At 38.4% G+C, this 22416-nt stretch overlaps 1 protein-coding gene across 11 annotated transcripts in view; it reads right to left on the reverse strand.

The window, feature by feature from the left end:
- PTPRT (protein tyrosine phosphatase receptor type T) overlaps window positions 1–22416 on the reverse strand; it is a 1158017-nt gene that overhangs the window by 412200 nt on the left and 723401 nt on the right. For all 11 annotated transcript variants that reach the window (XM_047439848.1, NM_001394024.1, NM_007050.6 and 8 more), the window contains exon 9: window positions 4131–4240. In XM_047439848.1, coding sequence (XP_047295804.1) covers window positions 4131–4240 — 110 coding nt within the window. The remainder of the gene's footprint in view (window positions 1–4130; window positions 4241–22416) is intronic.

Raw genomic sequence — 22416 nt, forward strand, 5'->3', positions numbered from 1 at the left:
GGCCCTACCCACCCTTTCCCCCACACAGTCTCATCACTGTCCTCTGTGCTCAGGAGGCCCCAGTCACTCCGGTCTCCTTTTTACTACATTTTTAAGACTTGCCTAAGTCATTTCCACCTCAGGGCCTTTGCACTCACTGTTTTTATTCATATGTCTTCATCTTCACTACTTTACCTTCAGAGACTTTGGCTGGCTTATAGGCAAGAATTAAACAACTCCAAAAAGAGGTAGAATTTTTGATTTCATGGGTTTGACATAGATTTACTTTCCCCTTCATTCTTACCCAGTTGAAGCCAAGAACAGTCTGACACCTTCATATTAGAAACAGAGGACTGAAGACTGGAGACAGAATGGGACTTAAAGCCACTCACATTTTGGGGGGCAGAATTGTCTGAGGATGGACTCAGAGGCTGTGACTTGGACTTGTGCAGAAGGAAATTTAATCTGAACCACTTGGACCTGCTGTATTTAACAATAACATAGTTATAGTAATGAAACTTCCCTCCTTCCCCTCCCTTATTTTTTCTTTGCTTGTAACTTTGCTGAGGCCAAGGTTGTATATAGAAGGCCACAGACAATCCTGAATTTCTCTTCCATTTGCATTATCCTATTTTTCTTTGTAATAAAATATTCTATTTTGAGGCCAAAAGAGGGTAATTTGTAATTTATGAATTTCTCTCTTGAAATTACAACTAGAACCTAATTTTAAAAATCAAATTGGTTTCATCTAATTAAATTTGTAAATTGCCTCATAAACACATGCTTTGTTATAAATGTTTTTAAAAGCAAGGTCTCTTGCTTACTGTCTGGGGCTGGATTGGGTTGAGCCCAGAGTAACAGTTACTTCTCATCTCTCTACTCAAGAGAACATACTCTCAATTGCCAAAAGTTTCTCAAGAGTAGTATTTTCCAGAACAGTGCTTCTGAAACCGTAATACCCATAGGAATCACCCAAGGATCTTGTTAAACTGGAGAGGCCTGAGCTGCTACATTTCTAACTAGCTCCCAGGTCATGCTAATGCCGCTGGTCTATGGACCACGCTAAGTTGCAGAAAGGGGCAAGACATCTGTACCTGCATTTAGGAGTCCTGGGTTTGGCATCTGGGTAATATGAACTTGGTCTTTTCATTTTAACCCTCTGCACTCAATTTCCTCATTTTTATGTAATGATAACAGCTAACATTTATAATGTTATTTCTAAATGCCAAACACTGTACAAAACCTAATTTAATCAGATCTTCAGAGTAATCCTATAAGGCCATTTTATTATTACCTTGATTTTTCTGATAAAAGACTTAAGGTTCTGAGAGGCCACTTGATGTACTCAAGGTCACAGAGCAAGTAAATGTCAGAGCTGGGATTCAGATCTAGGCTATATAGGCTCAAATGTCACCATCCTTATTTTCTTAGGCCTCACTAGCTTTTGATACACAAGATTACACTCATGTTTATGCTCACAATACAATGGCCTAAATCTACAACCTCCTTAGCTGTCTTTACAGCATCCCTCAATAATTTTGGCATATTCCGCAAAAGTAGCCTCAAATGCTTACAAACAACTCAACCAGTTACAATACTCTGGTTCCGGTTCTCTGCAAATTATAGCCCAAGTCACAGCGAAGAAGCTACCTGAAGATGTCTTTCATCATAGTTGTCTCCCATAGAATCCATGGGAATGCCAACATCCCTGGCATCTGGTCTCTGAAAATCCACAAGGCATCAGATTCACACAGAAGTGAGAAGGACAACCTGCTCTAATCTGTACCCACCTTTGTGCATGGGGCTTCAGAGAGTGCACTATATAATAATGCCTCAATTGCAGGAGGTTCTACTCAAACACAGAGTCTAACTCACAGTTGTGTTTAGACCCTTGCTCTCCCTCTGTTTCTTTCTTCTTGTCATGGAATTTTAATCATGATATTTCTCATCCAGTCTAATGCATCATTCTACTAGAGGAAAAAGTGTATTACTCTCAAGGATCCAATCTAATGCATCATCCTACTAGAGGAAAAAGTATATTACTCTCAAGGAATAATATGTGCAGAGATATGACTCCACCTGCAACATAGCCCTACAGTAGTAGTTTCCAAATGCAGGTATGTACAAGGACCAGGGCTTTTCCATGACAAAGTTGCCATCAATCCAGTGCAAAATTAGAAAAAATAATGTGACTGTCATGAGTTAGTAAAAAATCATAAATTTATTCAATTTGAAGGATGGACTTTTATTCTGAAATTATATCCTTTCTATATTTTTGGAATTATGTCTTTTATAAAACGATGTAAATAAAAGATGTTGAAGTACCCTAGGTTAGTCCCCCAAGCCTTTTTAAATGCTACTGGCCTGTGAATTCCAAAAGTCTTGAACATCTGGCACACAGCGTCTTTTACATAACAGTATCAAGTAACTTAACTTCCTAAATCATGGGTCCTTTCCTTCTGCTTTACAAAGAAAAGTTTGCCAGGCACAACACATCTTTATTTCATGTAAATGTGTGTGTGTGTGTGTGTGTGTGTGTGTGTGTGTGTGTGTGAGAGAGAGAGAGAGATTGTGGTTTCTGCTTTACAAAGAACATGTAGATTTGAAGTGACTGGATTTTGTTTCAGTTAAATTTTCGAACCTCTCTTTCCCAAAGAAGTTTTGAAAATGTGCTAGGCAAGGTGTATTAGTATGAGTACCTGCCCTCCTCTCGGGGTACTCCCCAGGAAGAAAGCTTCTCCCAAGCGTGTGGCCTGAGAAAACTCATAAGTGATGGGGATGGATGTCTGTTTCCTCCTTCCATCTGGTAATCCTGAGAGCTGCGCCAAGCTCCCTGCAACTTCTAAGAGGGAGATGTTAGCTCTCCTGAGGAATGCTAGTTTTAGTGAGATAAGGTGTTTTCTTAAGCACCTTGTACATGTTGGATAATCTTCTCCCTCAGAGAGTTCTCAGGACCACCTGTGACTCTCTAGAGAGGTTATCGGTCTGTTAGATTAATCTTGAGTACTTTTCCTTCATCAAATACTCCTTGACTTTCCTCCCCAGAGCTCACCTTTCCTTATGGCAGCAATATTCTTCCCCCAAGCCCACTCCCTATACATGCATGTTTCTGCATGAGCTCTCAGTGACTTAAGCCTCTTCGTGGGCCTGTGGTACATGTTTCAGTCTGGGATGCTTGTGTCTTTCCCCCTCGTCAGATTCCCTAGAGAAACCCTGAAGAAGTGATTACCACCTTTATTTTACAGGTGAGAAAAATGAGGCTTAAAGAGAGGAGGAATCTACCAAAGGTAACTCAGGAAAAGGTGGAGCTACTAGGACACTAGGCTACATCATTCCAGCTTCGGTATCCATGCCCTTCCCTCTGCATTCCTGTGTGTTTCCACTTGATCTAGTATTGTAATCTTATGTTGTGTAAGAATACAAGGGGTGGGAGGAGACTCAACCTTACTCGTATTGCAATACTTGAATCTTAGCTATATCAGCTCTGTTGGAGATTTTTTTGTTTTGTTTTGCAATAAACTTTCATACAGTTTGTCTTATTTTTGCAACTTTTCTGGAAGGCACATTGTGTTGGCTTGATGGGTACATTCCTGCTTGAGTAGGTTCTGGTTCATCTCTGATATGGTAAGGCCCAGCTAATGCTTGGAATGGGGGCTTTGGATGCCATCACCTGGGTGACAAAATATGCCTTGGGCACAGAGCAATTTAAATCTGAAGAATCCTGTGTCCCTGGTGCAGAGAATAACATTGGGATTCTTTTCAAAGCAAAGAGACTGATATTCGTAAAGTGAGCATCATGTGGGTATTGCAGTTTCCCAGACGAACTTTCAGTACTGTTTGCCAGGCCTGGGCCTTCTCTTCCACATAAGAACAATCTGACTCCCTGGGTTTTGGCTCTTTTGTGGATGAGGTCAGTTGTCACCATAGTCACTTCAATGCATGATGTGTACAAATTTCTTTGTTCTTGGGGCTACCAGGACAGCTCCACTGTGTGCCATTATGTTTGCACCCCATTGTACTGTCAGAAACCTTTTGGTATGTCTCATCTTACTCACCTTTATACGTTCAGCAGAATGGGTATTCACCAATGTCAGGCTGAAGTGACTTGAATAAAGCTAAGCCAATGGATGCAGCACAAGGGACCTCCTTACCTCGTAGAGCGTGATGACCCCATTGGTCTCATTGGGAGGTTTCCACTGGATGTAGATCTTCTCCTCAAAGGGCCCCCCTTGGATGGATTCTAGAGGAACAGCTCCTGGAACTACAGAATGGAAAAGTTATGAACTTGATGTCACCTTCCACATCATTTCTCCAGCCCCGCTGACCTAGAACAGGGGTTGACAAAGTTGCTGTAAAGAACCAGATAGTAAATATTTTAGGTCTGATGGGCTGTACGTTCTCTGTTACAACTACTCAACTCTGTCATTTTAGCACAAAAATGACTATAGATAATCCATAAATGAATGAGTACGGTGGCGTTCCAATAAAACTTTATTTATGAAAACAGGCAATGGGCTGGATTTGACCCACAGGCCATAGTTTGCTAACCCATTTTCAGAAGGCTGATCAGGCTTTTCATCTGCAGACTGAGCAAGTCGGTTTATGAACTGAACCGGATAAGGGCAGAAAGGACATGAGCAGTTTCCAGTTCTGCCAGAGGTGGGAATCTGAAATGAGGTGTTTGCTTCAGGGGTGTCTAATCTTTTGGCTTCCCTGGGCCACATTGGAAGAAGAATTATTATTGTAGGCCACACATAAAATACACTAACACGAACGATAGTTCATGAGCTAAAAAAAAAAAATTACAAAAAAAAAATCTCATAACGTTGTAAGAAAGTTTATGAATTTGTATTGGGCCACATTCAAAGCCATCCTGGGCTGCATGCAGCCCAGGGGCTGCTGGTTGGACAAGCTTGTTTTAGGATTTGTATTTGAGAAATGCAAAGTGAGCTTCCCATCATCTTACCAAGTATCATTTTCTTCACTCTGCCAAGTTTTCTCTAACTTTAGGAGTGCTTCATCAGTTTCTTGACTAATTCCTGAATCCAACATGAACTATGTGGCTTGAAACCCCAATCCAATTAGAAGAAGCTCGCCTTGCTCCAAGAAGGCAGCTAGCTTGACTTGTTGTTGAGTCCCAATGCCTGGCATGAAGTAGATGCATAATAACTATTTGTTGGTTGGATGAATAGGTGAATGAATGACCTACGCCAGCATTTTGAACTAATAAGTGCAACCTTTCCTGGGGCTCCTTCTATAAGCCGGTCAGTCTTCCTGCCAGCATCCTCCTGCTGGATTTCACTATTCTTACAACAGTCTGGAAGACGGTGAGCCAGAAAACAAATTATTCCCCAAACTTTCTGCTGTAACCCCTTAGAAATAATGAATTTCAGTAAATTGTTGCCAAATCTATTTATATTTTGGTATTATAAAAGCACTTACTCTTGGACTAGAATTTTACCTACATTATTTCACTTAAGCCATAAAACACCTCTGCCCAGTAGGTATTATCTCCTTTGCGTCGATAAGAGAACTGAGGCTGAGAAAATGGAATAACTTGCTGAAGGTCATATGGCTCTTAAGTTGTAAAGAGGGAACTAAACACCTGTCTGTGAGTTTTAAAGCATATACTCTTAATCATCACGCTACGCCTCTCTACATATAGCCTTGGCCATATGTTGCAATCAGTTCCCCTTTGTTAAATTAAAATATGTTTAGTTTTGCTCATTATGGACATGCTATACAGAATTTGTTGAATATTAAGAATATATAAAAAGGTTAAAAAAGGAAAAGAACAAAATTACTCATAATTCACATGTTCAAATATTATTTTCCAATCTTTTTATGCATATAAAATTTTATTAAAAAAAGATATGCCTATGCATATATATATTTTTTATTTTTAAAAAAATGTTAACTCCTACTGTGCATATTTCATTGTGACCTTATTTTATCACTAAAGAAATTGCAGGCTTCTCTGGGGCCATACATTTCTCTGGGGCCATGCATTTTAATGGCTGCTTAGAGGGGGCGTTGCCCCTTTATAGTCACTAATCCTTTATTATTGGGCATTAAAGTTGGTTTGAATTCTTCATGATTTTGAGCAATGCTGGAATGAGCATGCTTATAGGTAAGTATGCATGCAACTCTGCAGATAGACCTTAAGATTAATGCTTTGGAAATTAATTTACTGGGCCAAAGTAAATGAACTATTTTATTTTTAAGGCTTTTGACATATATTACCAGATTGCCTTTCAGAAAGTTTGTACCATTCTGGACTCCCCAACAGAAGACTATGTCTGTTCTTGCCAACACTGACTATTTAAAAAATTAAGTGCATGTGTATGTGTGTCTTTTTTAGAATACTGGAGAGTACAGATTTTGTTTTCAGCCTAATTAGCCATTCACATTGCTTCTTTTATGAACAAATTATCTATACCTTGTGCTCATTTTCCTGTATGGCTCTTCATTTTTGCTCATCTTTGTCTTATGGGCTCGTCATTGTAATTTCATTTTAAGGACGTAAGCTTTCTTGCATAGGTTGCAAATATATTTTCGCCAGTTTTTTTGTTGGCTTTTGAAATCACTTAGGTATGCAGAAGCTTTTAATTAGTCAGGTATCCTATTGCTTTCCCTTATCCACCCTTCCTTTCCAGAAATATTTATTATGTATTTAATATGATGAAGGGACAGCGATGGACACTAGAGATATACCAATAACAAAGAGAGATGTAGTCAAATCCATGGTAAAGCTTGTATTCTGGAAAGAGAGACAGACATTAAGCGATTATACTCAAAACTAATTCATTACATTTTTTTAATCAGGACTCTGACATAAAGGGATATGGTACTAGGAGAATTATTAAAAGCAGAGAACAACCTAGAATGGCAAGTTAGGATATTAAATGGCACATAAGTTAGAGTTGCTTGATAAGTAGAAGTTATCAGGGCAAAATGGGGAGGAGGTGCTGTAGTGTGGTGGACAGCTTTGTGAGGTTGAGGGTGGAAGGAGAAAAATCAGTTAGGAGGCTGTCATTGTCATCCTCGGGAGAAAGAATTGTAACGTGGACTGGAATGATGGTAGTGTAGAAGTGAAATAGATTGTACAGATGTGGACTCAGAGGATGGCAACATGGAAGATCAATGACTTGGTGGTGATAGATAAGGGTGAAGGAGGGAAGGGATGTGTCATGGAGAACTGCAACCCTTTTGTTTTACACAACTGGGGGATCAAAATGTTGTTTATAGAGAGGGAGCCTTAAAGGATGACCAATTTTGGAGAGGAAGCTGGTGAGCTCAGTTTTTGTCATACTTTATTTCAGGTATACATAGAACATCCAAGTGGCAATGCTGAGTAGCAGTTGGATATGGGAAGACTGGGGCCAATGTTTGGAAATGGAAACCGTAGGCAGGGAATAGATGGCAAGAGTATAGAGCAGAGAAAAAAAAATAGGTCTAAGACTAAGTGAAGAAGAACTCCAGAATTAACAATTAGGAGGAAAATGAATGGAGAAACTGGGAGTCAGTGTTCAGAGAGGCAACCAGAAAACCAGGAAGGTAAGCCGTCATTGTAGCATCCAAAGAAGGAAAGAGGCTCAAGAAGGTACTGGTCAGCAGTCACAAATATGGCTGAGTAGTCGAGTAAGATGTGGCTTTAAACTTGCCCATTGAACCTACTGTCCTCAAGGTGACTCGTGAGCCAAGCAAGAGTAATTTAAGGGAGAATGTTGGCATCACAAGCCATCCTGAAGAGGGTTGAGAAGAGAGGGGAAGGTGAGGTGAGGCAAGTAAACAATGCTGGCTGTGAAAAGGAGGGGAATTCAAACCATAACAAGAATGAGATATGGAGCCAAAATAATGACTCTCTTAAAGACAAGAGAGGTTATGATTAAAGCAACTAAGAAAAAGATTCAAAATAGAGGCTGGGCTTGGTGGCCCACGCCTATAATCCCAGCACTTTGAGAGGCCAAGGCGGGCAGATCACGAGATCAAGAGATTGAGACCATCCTGGCCAACATGGTGAAACCCTGTCTTTACTAAAAATACAAAAATTAGCTGGGTATGGTGGCGCGCACCTGTAGTTCCAGCTACTCGAGAGGCTGAGGCAGGAGAATTGCTTGAACCCAGGAGGTGGAGGTTGCAGTGAGCCGAGACCATGCCACTGCACCCCAGCCTAGTGACAGACTGAGACTCCATCTCAAAAAAAAAAAAAATTCAGAATAGAGGTAAGAAGAAGAGTGAGAAAGAAAGAGGAGATAACTTACAATGGTAGGGTCCTGAAAGCAAGAGCAAGGGTGGGTTGAAAGAAGGGTTCTCTCCTTTTGTGAGAGAAGAGGAGAGGATGGAAATGTGCTAATGCTTTGTACGGAGGAATTGAAGTGTCCTAATGGCTCTGTTTTCTTGAGAAGTGGGGTGAAGCCATCTACCAAAAGTGTAGTGGGGGACGAATTACATCAAGAATTTGGAAAGACAGGAGAAGCTTTAATCACAGAGTAGAAGGCAAGCAGAATAGAGAGATGAAAATTCTATTCATTCATTTGAGGGTCTATCTGACGGAAATTGAGGAGGGTGTGTCTGATGGACAATAAGAAGTGTCTGTCTGATGAAGACTGTGAGCATGAAACTCAAGCTAATAGATCTTGGTCTTTCCAATCTGGGGAAAATTCTCTTTCTCACACCAGATCAGATGAATGGAAAGTACAGATGAATAGTTGTTCTATAATTTATTTATTTTCTGTTTTATTCCCATCTTTTTCTTTTTACACCTTACACGTTAATATTTCTGAAATTACTGTGTATACCATACATGGTAGAAATCTATAATTCCTTACAATTTTCTCAATTGTAAAGGACAATTAATTGACCAGTCAAAACTTGCCCCAGTGATTTCAAATGCCATCTTACTACCATATTAAATTATTTTATATTCTAGTGTATGTTGTTTGGCTTTCTGTTCTATTTCACTAAGTTGTAGCTTTTACTGTGACAGTATTTCTCTATCGCATTAAAATGACATGTTTTGATACTTGGTAGAACAAGTCTTATTCTTCTTTTGCAAAGCTTTTTGAGGTATCACTACCCATGTATTCTTCCAGAAGAATTTAGGAAGAGTTTTATAAAATTTCAAACATATTTCATCACAATTTTTACTGCAGTTGCATTTTTTTTCTCTTTTTTGGGAAGCAGAGAGTATCACTTTTAAAGTGAGTCCTTTTATCCAGTAAACTGTATAAATCTTCATGTATTAATGCTTCTTTTTATGCCCCTCAGTTAAAAATGTTTTTCTTTTATTTCTTACAAATTGCATTTCTAGGACTTTATTATTGTTCATATTGTTTTTGTATTGTATTAAAAAGTTTCTTTTATAGTGTTTTGCAATATATTAAAAAGTATACATAATAATGTATGAATAGTTCAAAGAATAATTATTAAATACACATGTGCCCACTATCTGCTCTAAGAAATAAAACATTACTATACTATTGAAGCACTGTTTATGCCCATCACTATTGTCTCCTTTTTCTTTCTCCATCGTTAAATAAATAAATAAATAAAATAGGTACTACAGGTACTATCCTGATTTTCCTTTTTTTTCTTTTTCTTTTCTTTTTTTTTTTTTAAGACAGAGTTTCACTCTTGTCACCCAGACTGGAGGGCAACAGCGTGATCTTGGCTCAATGCAACCTCCGCCTCCTAGGTTCAAGTGATTCTCCTGTCTCAGCCTCCCAAGTAGCTGGGATTACAGGCACCCATGACCACGCCCGGCTAATTTTTTTTTTTTTTTGAGACCCGGCTAATTTTTGTATTTTCAGAAGAGATGGGGTTTCACTATGTTGGCCAGGCTGGTCTTGAACTCTTGACCTCAGGTGATACACCTGTGTTGGCCTCCTAAAGTGCTGGGATTATAGGTGTGAGCCACTGCGCTCAGCCTGAATTTACTCTTAATCATTCTCTTCATTTTTATTCGGAGTTCTAAATATATACATATATCCCAAGACAATATATCATTTAGTTTTTCTTGGTTTCTTTTAAATCTATGTGGATTGAGTGTTTTCTATTATATGATTTGCGTTTGTCACTCATCATTTTCAGATTCATCTATTTTGATGCACATAGTTGTATCTAATTCATCCCCATCTTATAAATATATTCCTATTTATTCCACCATTCTACCGTATATGAACAGTAGAGTTGTATCCAGGTAGGGTTTCTTACAATATAATTTATTGGAATACTTTTGTATATTTGATTGAACATATATATAAGATTTTACTAAGGTACACTTAGGAAGAGAGGGTCTATTCCTATGACTGAAGGGCTTATCTATCTTTGTTTTTACAGTGTAATGCCAAATTGTTTTCCAAAGTGGTGGCAGCACTGCCCCAAGCAATGTTCTGAAAGTTCCTACTCCTCCGCATCTTTATAAATATTTGGTATTATCAGGTTTTAAAATTCTAGACCATCTAGTAAGTGTAAAACAATACTTCATTAAGGTTTTACATGCTTTTACCTATTTACTAGCATCTTTTAATGTTTGTTGGATATTATTGTCCTTTTCCTGTTGCATATGTTTGATACTAATCATTTTATTGGCTATATGTGCTACTGAAAAACTTCTTTTAATTTGTGTCTTGTGTTTCTCTTTATGTTACCTTTGAATATGGATCAGTTCTTAATTTTAATGTACTCAAATTGATCAGATTTTAGTTTTTGTATGGGAGAAAGAGAGAGACAAATTTAGTAGCAGACACTGTTGATGGCCTGCCTATATCCCACTGAATAATGCTTACTGCAAAGTACAAATTTACCTAAATGCTGTGGGAGCCAACTTGTTCTCCACGTAGAAGAAGCAAGAAGTGCCAGAGAGTTAATGCCCCGAAGACATCCTTCAAGCAATGAAAGACAGGAAGTTGATGGATGAACATCCCAGTTTCCTTACTACTTGGTTGGGTTACTCTGAGACATGTTTTACTAGCACTTCTCAAACTATTTCAAACACTGAAACCATTGTGATGATGATAATGATAATTCCAAATCCATTGTGGACTCATGATATCATAAAATACAATAAAAATGAATTAATAGGGAAGTATAATTTTTAAGTAAAAGTGAAATTGAAAAAGCAAAAAAGAAAAATACTAAGCTCCTTCTTTTTAAATACTTTCTCTTTCTGTACTTGTCTTGTTATGGATTAGAGAGTCAATGAGTCAGTGCTGGTCCTTGGACCACACTGGGAATAGCACTGTTCTAGAACTCAGTTATTCACATGGTAATTTTTTGTTAATAAACTTTGTATTGACTTTCTTCCCTTTCCTGTTTCACTTTCCCTCTTTCTTATGAGTGTGTCCTGAGACCATCTCCTAAATAAACTACTTCCATTTGTATCCTTATCTCAGGGTCTGCTTCTGAATAAACCCACACAAAAGAGTTTTTCTTACATAAGAAACACTTTCTCTATCCTGAAGTCATGAGAATATTTGTCTAAATTTTCATTGACATTTAAGAGTTACTCTTTTAATAAAATGTCCTCAATTCATTTACAACTGTGTTACTATGTATAACATGAGGTAGGAATCCAATTTTAATTATTTCTCCTCATCCTAGGGAGATTGAAAAAATACTTTTAATTCCTCAGTTGATTTGCCTGATAATTTTAACTTCTGTCACATTTCCACATATGTATGGGTCTACTTCTATGTTCTATTATATTCAATTGTTTCTGTTAGACTTTCCCTGTGTCAATACCACATCTTAATTAACAATGAGGTGTAAGTCTTGCTATCTGGTAAAGTCTACTACTTTGTACTTCATGTTCATGACTGTCTTGGGTACTCTTACCTTTTCTCTTTACATAAACATTTGAGGACTAGCTTGTACCTTTTCAAAAAATGTTTGGTTTTTGAATTTTAGTTGCATGTATTATAGATCAAATGGGAGATAATATCATGTCTTTATAATAATAGTTTTCTCATCCATGAACATGGTATATCTTTTATTTAGGCCTTCCTTAACGTCTTTCAGTGTTTTATAGATTTATACGTACATCTTGAAAACTTATGTTAAATGTATTACTAAATACCTTATATTTTTATTGCTATTGTACATAATGTCTTTAAGAAAATACCACATACTTGTTAGGTTAATAGAAATGGAATTGACTTTTTAATGTTAATGTCTTGGCAAACATGCTATATTCTTATATTAATTCTAATAATTTGTTTGCAGATTTCTTTGGGTTATCTATGTAGAGATAATTGTAGCATCTGTAGTTAATAATAGTTTTGCTCTTTTCCAATCTTTTATTTTCTTATCTTCAATGATAGCCACCAATACAGTCTTTAATAGAAATGATGATATGTCTATCTCCAATTTCAAAGATAATGATGATATTGTTTCATCTTTGAGTATGATGTTTGTAGGTTTTTTAGTTATCTTTATCAGGTTGAGGGGGCCCATTTTTATTCCAGGCATACAAGAATATTTTGTTTTTTAAATCATGCTGAGAATTAACTGATGCTTTTTCTGTATCTACTGTAGTGATGATATGTATTTCCCCTCTCCTAGTATGTTACTGTAGCAAATTACACAAACAGATTTACTAAAGTTAGACTAACACTAATTTTTTAAACTATTTTTTTGCATATTTATGCAGTTTCAGATCATTTGCTAATATTTTGTTTAGGTATTTGCATACATTTTTTTCTCATAAGCTTTTCTGCTTTTAATATCAAGGTTATAGTCTTGTCATAAATTGAAGGGGGAAGTGCTTCTTCTTTTTCCTTTCTCATAAAGTGTGTAAGATTAGGATTACAAACTCCTTGAGTGTTTGACTGATTGCACTTGTGAAGTCACCTGGGACTGATGTGTACTTTGTTGCAAAAGTTTAAATTACTGATTCTATTTCTTTATTTGTTGTAAAACTATACAGAATTGCTTTTCCTTAAGTCAAGTTTTTTAATTAATAGTTTGCCATATCACCTAAATTTTACATTTATTGGTATAAGATTATATACACTATCATCATTTATCTTGGTTACTGTGAAATAAACACAAAAGCATAAAACAATCATCTCATTAATTTTTCAGTACTGAACTTCATACTGTGACCTTGCTTTTCCTTATACTTTTCACTCCTTAAGCACATATCCCTAAATACAATAGAGTTTATCATCAAATAAATAAGAATAATAAATAGTGCTAAACTCTTTTACAAAGGCCAGTCTGGGAGAACTAATACCTTTACAATCTTAACTTCCATTCCATGAATATGTTCTATCCCAGGATTTATTTAGATATTCTTACTGAGCATGCGTATTAGTTTTTTTGTTTTGTTTTTAAAAATCTTGTTTCTTGCTTCAATTGTTAGGGGGTATTTACTTTGCACTATCAGATTTGTTCTTTACAATAAGAATGAAAGCATTTTTAAAAATCTGTCCAGTAACCTTTCCGCATGCAACCTCATAAGAAGTGGTGTGTGATGGTCTGGTTTAATGGGTCATTCTGCTAGTTACCATGTAAGTCCTTATTTTAAATATTTCCAACTCACAGGGAAAGGAAAGAATTTAGATATATTCATACATTACTTGGCTGGATAAGAGTTCTGTCTGACCTGTGGGGCAGTGGTATGAGGGGCAGTTAAGGAAGGGAAATAATTAGGCAGCAGGAAGATTCTCCGTGGCAAGAGGGCTTTTTAGGTGTTTTGAGGGGCAGCCTGAAGTTAGTTACCACAGACACTACCCCTTCCTGTAATTGTTTCTTTACAATGAGATCCTTCCACTGAAGCCCCTTTTCTTGTTTGCCATATGCCCTGGACGTAGGCTTGGAGGGGGAGCTCTCGTTCTCTGCATCATGGACTAGCAAATAAAGATGACCAGGGCACTGACCTCTCTCCTTTCCCCACTCCCATCCACCAGCTCCAACGCCCACTCCTGTTTTTAGCACTGGTTGGTCAAAGTTGGAGGTACTTATGCATGTAGACTTGGAAGTCTTCTCCTCCAATTCCCTAAGGGGTTTTCTTTCCAGGCAGTCTCAGCCTAGTCATCTCTTTCCCATTTGGGACTCCCTCTCCCATGACGTCTTGCATTAATTCTTTCAGGAGCAGCCATGGCATCGTTTTACAGTTGTCAGTGCAGATACAAAGGTGTTTTTCTCTATATTTCTTTAGGACAGTAGTTTAAGAAGAGTGATCAAATTGGCATTTCTAATCAAAAGTCTTATTGTCATCACTGAGACCTAAAAGGCAGTATTGTAGAATTAAACAATGATCAAGGGTTGAAGCCACACTGCCTGGGTTTATGTCCTGTTCCCACCACTGTATTACCTTGGCCAAGCTGCTTAATGTCTCTGTGTCTCATTTTCCTTACTTTAAAATGAGGATAAAAATACTACCTACTACATAGGTTGTCCTGGGGATTTGATATGTTAATATACACAAAGTGCTTACCTAGGTGTCTGGCACAAAGTAAATACTATGTTTGTCTGATCCTCCCCCTGGCCCCATTGCATTCACTCTGAGAACAGCTCTAGGGTAGCCTAGAGATCACTAATTTGATTTTTTTGTAGAGACAATTAAGATTGTTGCTATTTCCTGTGATGTCCTTACCTCAATCTGCTCTATCCGAATGATGTTATATTGCTAATCATAGAAGCTATATCTTCTCATAGCTTACTGAGCTTTCTACGATCTTCTTCTGATTTCTATGGTAAATGATCTTAAATCTAATTTTTCTCTGAGGACTCAGAATTCATTCGTTCAATAATGTATTTATTGTGTCCTTATTTGTCTACCTGGCACTGTTCTTCTAAGTGCTTGGGAAGCAGAGTAAGAAAAACACAAGGAAAAAATCTTGTCTCTGTGGAATGCATTCTAGTGGGAGAAGACAGATAATAAAACATATAGTGAAATATACAGTATGTCAGATGATAATTGCTAAGGAGACACCCAAAGCTGGAAAGAGAGACAAAGAGTGTGCTGTAGGAGACTTCCAGTTTTTAATAGAATGGTCTGAGAAGAGCTTGCTGAGAGGTGACATTGGAAAAAAGACTTGAAGAAGCTGAAGGAACCATCCTGCTTATTTGGCAGAACCTTACTGTAGCCAAAAAGGATGGCAAGTGCAAAGGCCCTGAGGCAGGGATGTCCCTGATATATGTGAAGAGAATGATAACTGAATTTGCATAGTGAGGCACAAGTAGCAAGAGATGACACAGAGGCAAACAAAAGTGGGAATTCTGGTCACCTGGAGCATGTGAGCTACCGTGAAACTTCGGGTTTTTAATGTGAGTGACAAGAGAAACCATCAGAGGGTTGGGAGCAGAGGGAGTGATATGATTTGCTTCATGATTTAACAAGATCATTTTGGTGCTGTGTTGAGAAAAGAATGCAGCGGCCAGAGCTGAAGCTGCAAAGATTATTTAGAGGCTGCTGCAATAATCTGGGGTGCAGAGCACAGTGGTTTGGACCTAAGGGGTAGTAGTAGAGGCTGTGAGAAATGGTCAAGGTCTTGACATACATTGCAGGATGAACCAAGAGAATATGTTATTGGTTCAGATGTGGGGAACAGCAAGACTGCTGCTTTGTACAAAGCCAGGGGGTCTCAATCAAAAGCAATAAAGGGTGAAGAGGTTCTCTTTTTCTTTTTTTGAGACAGGGTCTTGCTCTGTCACCCAGCCTGGAGTGCAGTGGTACAATCATGGCTCACTGCAGCCTTGACCTCCCAGCCTCAAGCAGTCCTCCCACTTCAGCCTCCTGAGTAGCTGAGATCATAGGTACACACCACCACACCCAGCAATTCACCTGCCTTGGCCTCTCAAAGTGCTGGGATTACAGGGGTGAGCCACCATCCCCAGCCAGAAGGGATTTTCTTTGGAGATGTAAAAGCCAGGGCCTCAGTTCTGACAAAAGTGAGAAGTCAAGGTTTTTGGCTCGAGACACTAATAAAACAGAGTTGCCATTTACTGAGATGGAGAAGACAGTGGGAAGAACAAGTTGAAGGAGGATCACAGGCTCAGTTTTGAATGTGTTTAATTCCACGGGCTGATTAGCAATCTAGGTGGAGAGGTTGAGGAGACAGCTGGATAAATGACTCCGGAGGGCTGGGCAGAGGCCTGGCCTGGAGGTATCAATTGGGAAAATTATTAACATATGGATGGATTTTAAAGCCGGGAGACTAGAAGAAATAATTAGGGAAATGAATGTGGATCCAGGGTCAGCAAACTATGGCTCTTGGGTTGAATCCAACCAGCTGCCTGTTTTTGTAAATAAAATTATATTGGAACACTGCCGCACCCATTTGTTTATCCATTGTCCCTGGCTGTTTTCCTGCTACAATGGTGGCATCGAGTAGCTGCTACAGACCCTCTCATGGATAAAGCCTATACTTTAAGACCTGGCCAACCTCTGGTATGGATACGAATGGGAAAGAGTCCCAAGAACTGGGCCAATAAGGTTGGGATGTGATATGGTTTGGCTGTGACCCCACCCAAAATCTCATCTTGAATTGTAATCCCCATAATCTCTACATGTCAAGGGAGACACCAGGTGGAGGTAATTAATTCATGGGGGCCATTTCTCCTATGCCATTTTCATGATAGTGAGTGAGTTCTCAGGAGATCTGATGTTATTATAAGTGTTTGGTAGTTTCTCCAACGTTCATTCTCCTTTTTGCCGCCTTGTGAAGAAAGTGCCTTGCTTCCCCTTCACCTTCTGCCACGATTGTAAATTTTCTGAGGCCTCCCAGCCATGCTGATTTATGAGTCAATTAAAGCTCTTTCCTTTATAAATTACACAGTTTTAACCAGTTCTTTATAGCAGTATGAAAATGGACTAATACACGCTGTTTAAAAGGAACCAGCAAACTGTAATCCCAACATTTTGAGAGGCTGAGGTGGGAGGACGGCTTGAGGCTGGGAGTCTGAGATCACCTTGGGTAACACAATGAGACTCTGTCTCTACAAAAAAAGTAAAAATAAAAATAAATAGGCCGGGCATGGTGGCTCATGCCTATAATCCCAGCACTTTGGGAGGCCGAGGCCAGTGGATCACCTGAGGTTGGGAGTTCGATACCAGCCTGACCAACACGGAGAAACCCTGTCCCTACTAAAAATACAAATTTAGCCGGGTGTGGTGGCACATGCCTGCAATCCCAGCTACTCAGGAGGCTGAAGCAGGAGAATGGCTTGAACCTGGGAGGCGGAGGTTGCGGTGAGCCAAGATCGTGCCATTGCACTCCAGCCTGGGCAACAAGAGTGAAACTCCGTCTCAAAAATAAATAAATAAATAAAATAAAATAAATAAAACAAATAAATTAGCTGAGCACACTTGCACATGCCTATATGTGCCTATCCCACATGTCCTAGCTACTGGAGAGGGTGAGGTGGGAGGGCCGTTTGAGCCCAGGAGTCAGAGGATACAGTGAGCTGATCATATCACTGCCCTCCAGCCTGGGAGACACAGTGAAACCCTATCTTTAAAACAAAAACAAAGAGGAGAAGCCACTGCAGAAGGAGAAAATCTAGAAGTGTGTGATGAATTGGAAGCAAAGTACAAAAAGTGTTTTAAGGAGGATTTAACAACCAGCTGTGTCAGATATTGCCAACTGGTTAAGTAAGAGGATCTGACTTTCTGAGTAATGACTATTGGATTTGGTGACTTGAAGGTCATAGGTGATCTTGAAATAATTGTTTTGGTGCAATGGCAGGGATCTGAGTTACTTTGGTTGAATGGATTCAAGAACAAATAGAAAGAATGGATGCATAAGGAGGGGATGGAATAGCTTGAGGAGAAGATAGAGCTGGGTGTTTCTGGGTTTTTTTTTTAATCTTTTTAAAGATGGGAGAAATACAGCTTGTGTGGAGGGTGAGAAATATATCCAGTTACAAAGGGAAATTTTGATGTAGGGTGGAAAGGGGACAATTGCTGGAGCAATGACATTGAGTTAAAAAAAAAAAAGTAAGTGGGATTTGCTGCATTAAGTAGCAAAACTGGCCTTTATTTAAAAAGCAAATGGTTCATCCATAGAAACAAGGAGGTGAGGGGGAGGTCAAATATGTGGGCAACATGTGGGCAATGAGAGCTGGAGGGAATTTCTTTGAATGGTTTCAGTTCCTCAGTCTATTAGGTAACAAGGTCATCTGTGGAAGTGAGAACAGGTGGATGTGCTGTTAGTCTGAAGATAGGAGAAATATTCTCTGGGAGACTAGAGGGATGAATGGGCCAGGGAAAGACAGTATTGCCAGGCAGCTTTAAAAGCCAGCTCCAGTGGTGCTTCTGGCTTCCAAGTGAGAGTGGTTAGCGCAGTGGTGTGCAGCAGCTACGGAAGGAAAGACCTAGCACAGGCAGGAAATCAGATGGAGCTAGGGTTGTGAATAGCTGGAAATGAGAATGAGGCTGAGGTGTTGGGGGATTATGCAAGGATGTAACTGGAATGATCAGTCAAGGAATTTAAGCTGGGTAGAGAAGGGAATGAGGGCAATGAACAAGGTAGCAAGTCCTAGTGGGGCTGAATTTTTGGAGCTACAATACTAGAGGGAATAAATTGAAAAGAGAAGAGATGTGGTCAGAGTGAAATGTTTAAAATGAGATTACAGAGGGGTTAGAGGTTATTTAAAAGTGGCCTTTTGCCCAGGGCAAACGGAAATTTTGGATAGAGCTCTTGTTTTGTTTTTTCCTGAACACCCTGAAATAAAAAGCTCTCTATGATGTCTGATGTTGGCCACACACTACTTAGCAAAGCTCTTGGCAGACAGTAAGTTAAGGGCTTTACACAGACTTTCATGTGCTACAGCCTCTGTAGCGAGCCATTTTACAGATGGGGCACTGAAGTGTACAGAATGCGAGTCCTTAAACCAAGGTTGCATAGTGAAGTAGTGGATGAAGCCTGGATATAGCTCAAACTCTTCTATTTCCAAGGCATTTCCCAAATCACCCCTTTCTTCTATCACCTGGTAGGTCTGTGGGTCCAGAAGGCTAAAAGGCTGTCATCGCATCTTTAAGCAGCAAAATCAGGATGTCTCACCCCAAGTAAGAGGCTCTTTCCACCCACCACATTACCATTCCATAGTCAAGATGTCCTTTGCAAGGAGATAGACTTACTTTCCTTTGATTAAACTAGGTCTCTCTCTCTCTCTCATTGTAAAAAGACTTCTCGGCAAAAAATTCCTTTTTTTGTCTTATCTTCTAATTCTGTATCCCTTTTCCATTCCTTTTTCTTTGTAATTCTTTAATGAATCCACATTTTCCCTTTCCACAATTTCATTTCTTCTTCTATTTAACAGCATGGAACTTTCCATCCTTTTGACAGAGTTCTACAACAAAGGTTAATTACTTTATAATTTCATTCTCTTAAAAAAAAGCACACTAAAATTGCTAATTTTAACTGTGCTTCTTGTCAGTGGGTTCATGTAAATTCACTGTAATTAAACCAGATGTTTTCTTGTGCCTTAAAGTCAGGTGGTAATTTAAGGAAGATTTTCATTTCAACATAAAGGAGGACAGAGTGTTATCAAGGGAAGTTTTCTCCTCTCCTCTCCCCTTTCCTCCCCTCCCCTCCTCTCCTCTCTTTATCTCCATTTCTACATCTGAAAAGGGGTTAACAATGGTGAACTTTGGGGGTAGATATGAGGAATACCAAGGTAGTATATATAAAAGCAGATAGCCATGTACAATTCAACAGGAGTTTCCCTTGATACTTGTCTATGTCATTTTTTTGTCTCTCCACTTCAGTTGCCATATTTCTTTATTCATTCATTATACAGAGGCTTGGAACTAACTTAATAAGAGAGATTTAGATAATTTTAGTCTCATATTTCCTAGTCGTGTTGGAGAAAATACATTTGTTCCAGATAAATCTTTACATCTTAATTAACTATAGCCTTTTAATTGAACTATACAGTTGTATGCTACTAAATGTTTCACAACCTGCTCTCCAGGGAAAAATAAAAACAAAAACTTTGCCAACTTCCATGGTGTAAATATTTCCACCATGGTTTATTTGAAGCAACGAATGTGGTACTACTGAACTTGGAGGTGGGAAGAGATGCAAGCAAGTCTGAGTTAGCTTTGAATATAGCTAAAAGACGTCATACATATCCCCCATCTTCACAAACAATACCCATAAATGGGACACTATGGTATCACGAAAAGGGCATGAACTTTTATGTGGAATGGTCATTTATTCATCCATCTATTCATTCAACAACGAGCCCATACTATGGATTACCAGAGTGAACAACACAAAACAAAGTTTCTATTCCCATTAAGCTTATATCCCTCAAAGAGAGATAATAAAGTAATCAATATACAGCATGAGGTAGAGAAAAATAAAACAGAGAACAGCGGTAGAGGTTTTGGCCAGGTATAGAATTATATATTGGGTGGTCAGGGAATGCCCTTCAGGTAAGATTTTGAATTCTATTTACTCCTCTTCTGCACAACTGTATCGATAGCATCTACATCAAAGTATTTGGGAATTGACTGTAAGAATGGAGAGTATCAGCACAATGCCTAGTTCATAGTGTGCACTTGAAAAACATAATTGCATTTCTCTTTGCCCTTTATAATATCTCAAGACCATCTTGGTAAACATCTCAAATGTACTGAGCTCTAATACAGTGATGCCTTCAGGACTCACTAAGGTGTGAATAGCTTTCACTCTTACACTAAATGACTCTGGACTGCTTTACTTATTGCCTTGTTGTTATTGCTTTTTCTGCTTTTTCTCTCACTTTTCCCTTTTCCCGGTTTTACATGCCACATCTTGTTACTACAGATGTACTCATCCTTAGCAACATGCAGCCTCCTTCTAGCTTACTGTGACCTGAGAAACCTGATCATTGGCTCATTAGAAATGTACACTTAATAAAGGTACTCATTCCTGAGGCATGTCAGTCTTCCTTACAATTCAAGTACATGAGTTTTTTAAAAAGTATGATGCTAAATGAAATAATATATGTTTTGTATGTGATTAACTGTATTAAATATCAATAATATTATGGTATATATTAAGTTATTAATTATAATCAATTACATTATATGTAATTATTATATGGGATTCTACATTTCCTTATTTGTAAAATAGAAAAAAAAACACTCTTTGCTCCTTCACATTTAGTGTTCAGATTAAATGAATCTACACTGCTAGTGAAAACACAAAATCATACAACTTCTATGGAAGAGTACCTCTCAACAGCTAACAAAACTTCATATGTACTTACTCTGTGACTCTTGCAATCCCACTTTTAAGAATTTACCCTAAAGATACATTGCCACAAGTACCAAACAACATATGCACAATGCTATTTGCTACAGTATTATTTATGATAGTAAATAACGGAAACAACCTGGGTGTCCACTGGATATTGGTTGAATAAATTACAGTATTTCCATCAACACAATGAAATACCATAGTGTCATAAAAAATAAAGAGCAAATTCTGTAGTAACTGATATGAAGTGATTTCTAGGATATACTGAGTGAACAAAAACACAAGATGCAAAGTATATCAATTATGCTACCTTTTATATAAGAAGTAGGAAGAAGAAAAGTATTACATATTTTTTTGCAAAAAGAACTCTAAGAAAGATCAACCAGAAAGGAATGAAAATAGCTACCTTTCAAGTGTGGATTGGAATAGTGAAAAGAGACAGGAATGGCGGTAATATTTTTTGGAATATACGTTTTAATGTAGTTTTTTAATGGTGTTTTTATTTCTAATTTAATTTAAAGTTCTGAGATACATGAGCAGGAACTGCAGGTTTGTTACATAGGTAAATGCATGCCATGGTAGTTTGCTGGACCTATCAACCCATCACCTAGGTATTAAGCCCCATATGCATTAACTATTTATCCTGATGCTCTCCCTCCCCACACTCCCCCAACAGGCCCCAGGGTGTGCTGTTCCCCTCCCTGTGTCCATGTGTTCTCATTGTTCAGCTCCCACTTACAAGTGAGAACGTGCAGTGTTTGGTTGTCTGTTCCTGTGTTAGTCTGCTGAGGATAATGACTTCCAGCTCCATCCATGTTCCTGCAAAGGACATGATCTCATTCCTTTTTATGGCTGCAAATACCACATTTTCTTTATCCAGTCTATCATTGATGGCCATTTGGGTTGACTCCATGTCTTTGCTATTGTGAACAGTGCTGCAATGAACATATACATGCATGTATCTTTATAATAGAATGATTTATATTCTGTTGGGTATATACCCAGTAATGAGACACAGTTTTTACTTTTGAAACATGCAACTGTTTTGCATATTAAAAACAATTAAATTGAATTAAAAAGCATAGGTGGAAGGCAAACCTTTAAATGGAAACAAATGAACATAACTGGGTATCAAATTGATAATATAACCATACAGAGAAAAGAACTGAACTTTTGAACATAGTATTCTCACTGCATACCCTCAGTGGTATACAGCCTAAGGAGATAAAAACTGAAA

The sequence above is a fragment of the Homo sapiens genome, chromosome 20 (assembly GCF_000001405.40).
Source record: "Homo sapiens chromosome 20, GRCh38.p14 Primary Assembly".
NCBI classification, from domain to species: Eukaryota; Metazoa; Chordata; class Mammalia; order Primates; family Hominidae; genus Homo; species Homo sapiens.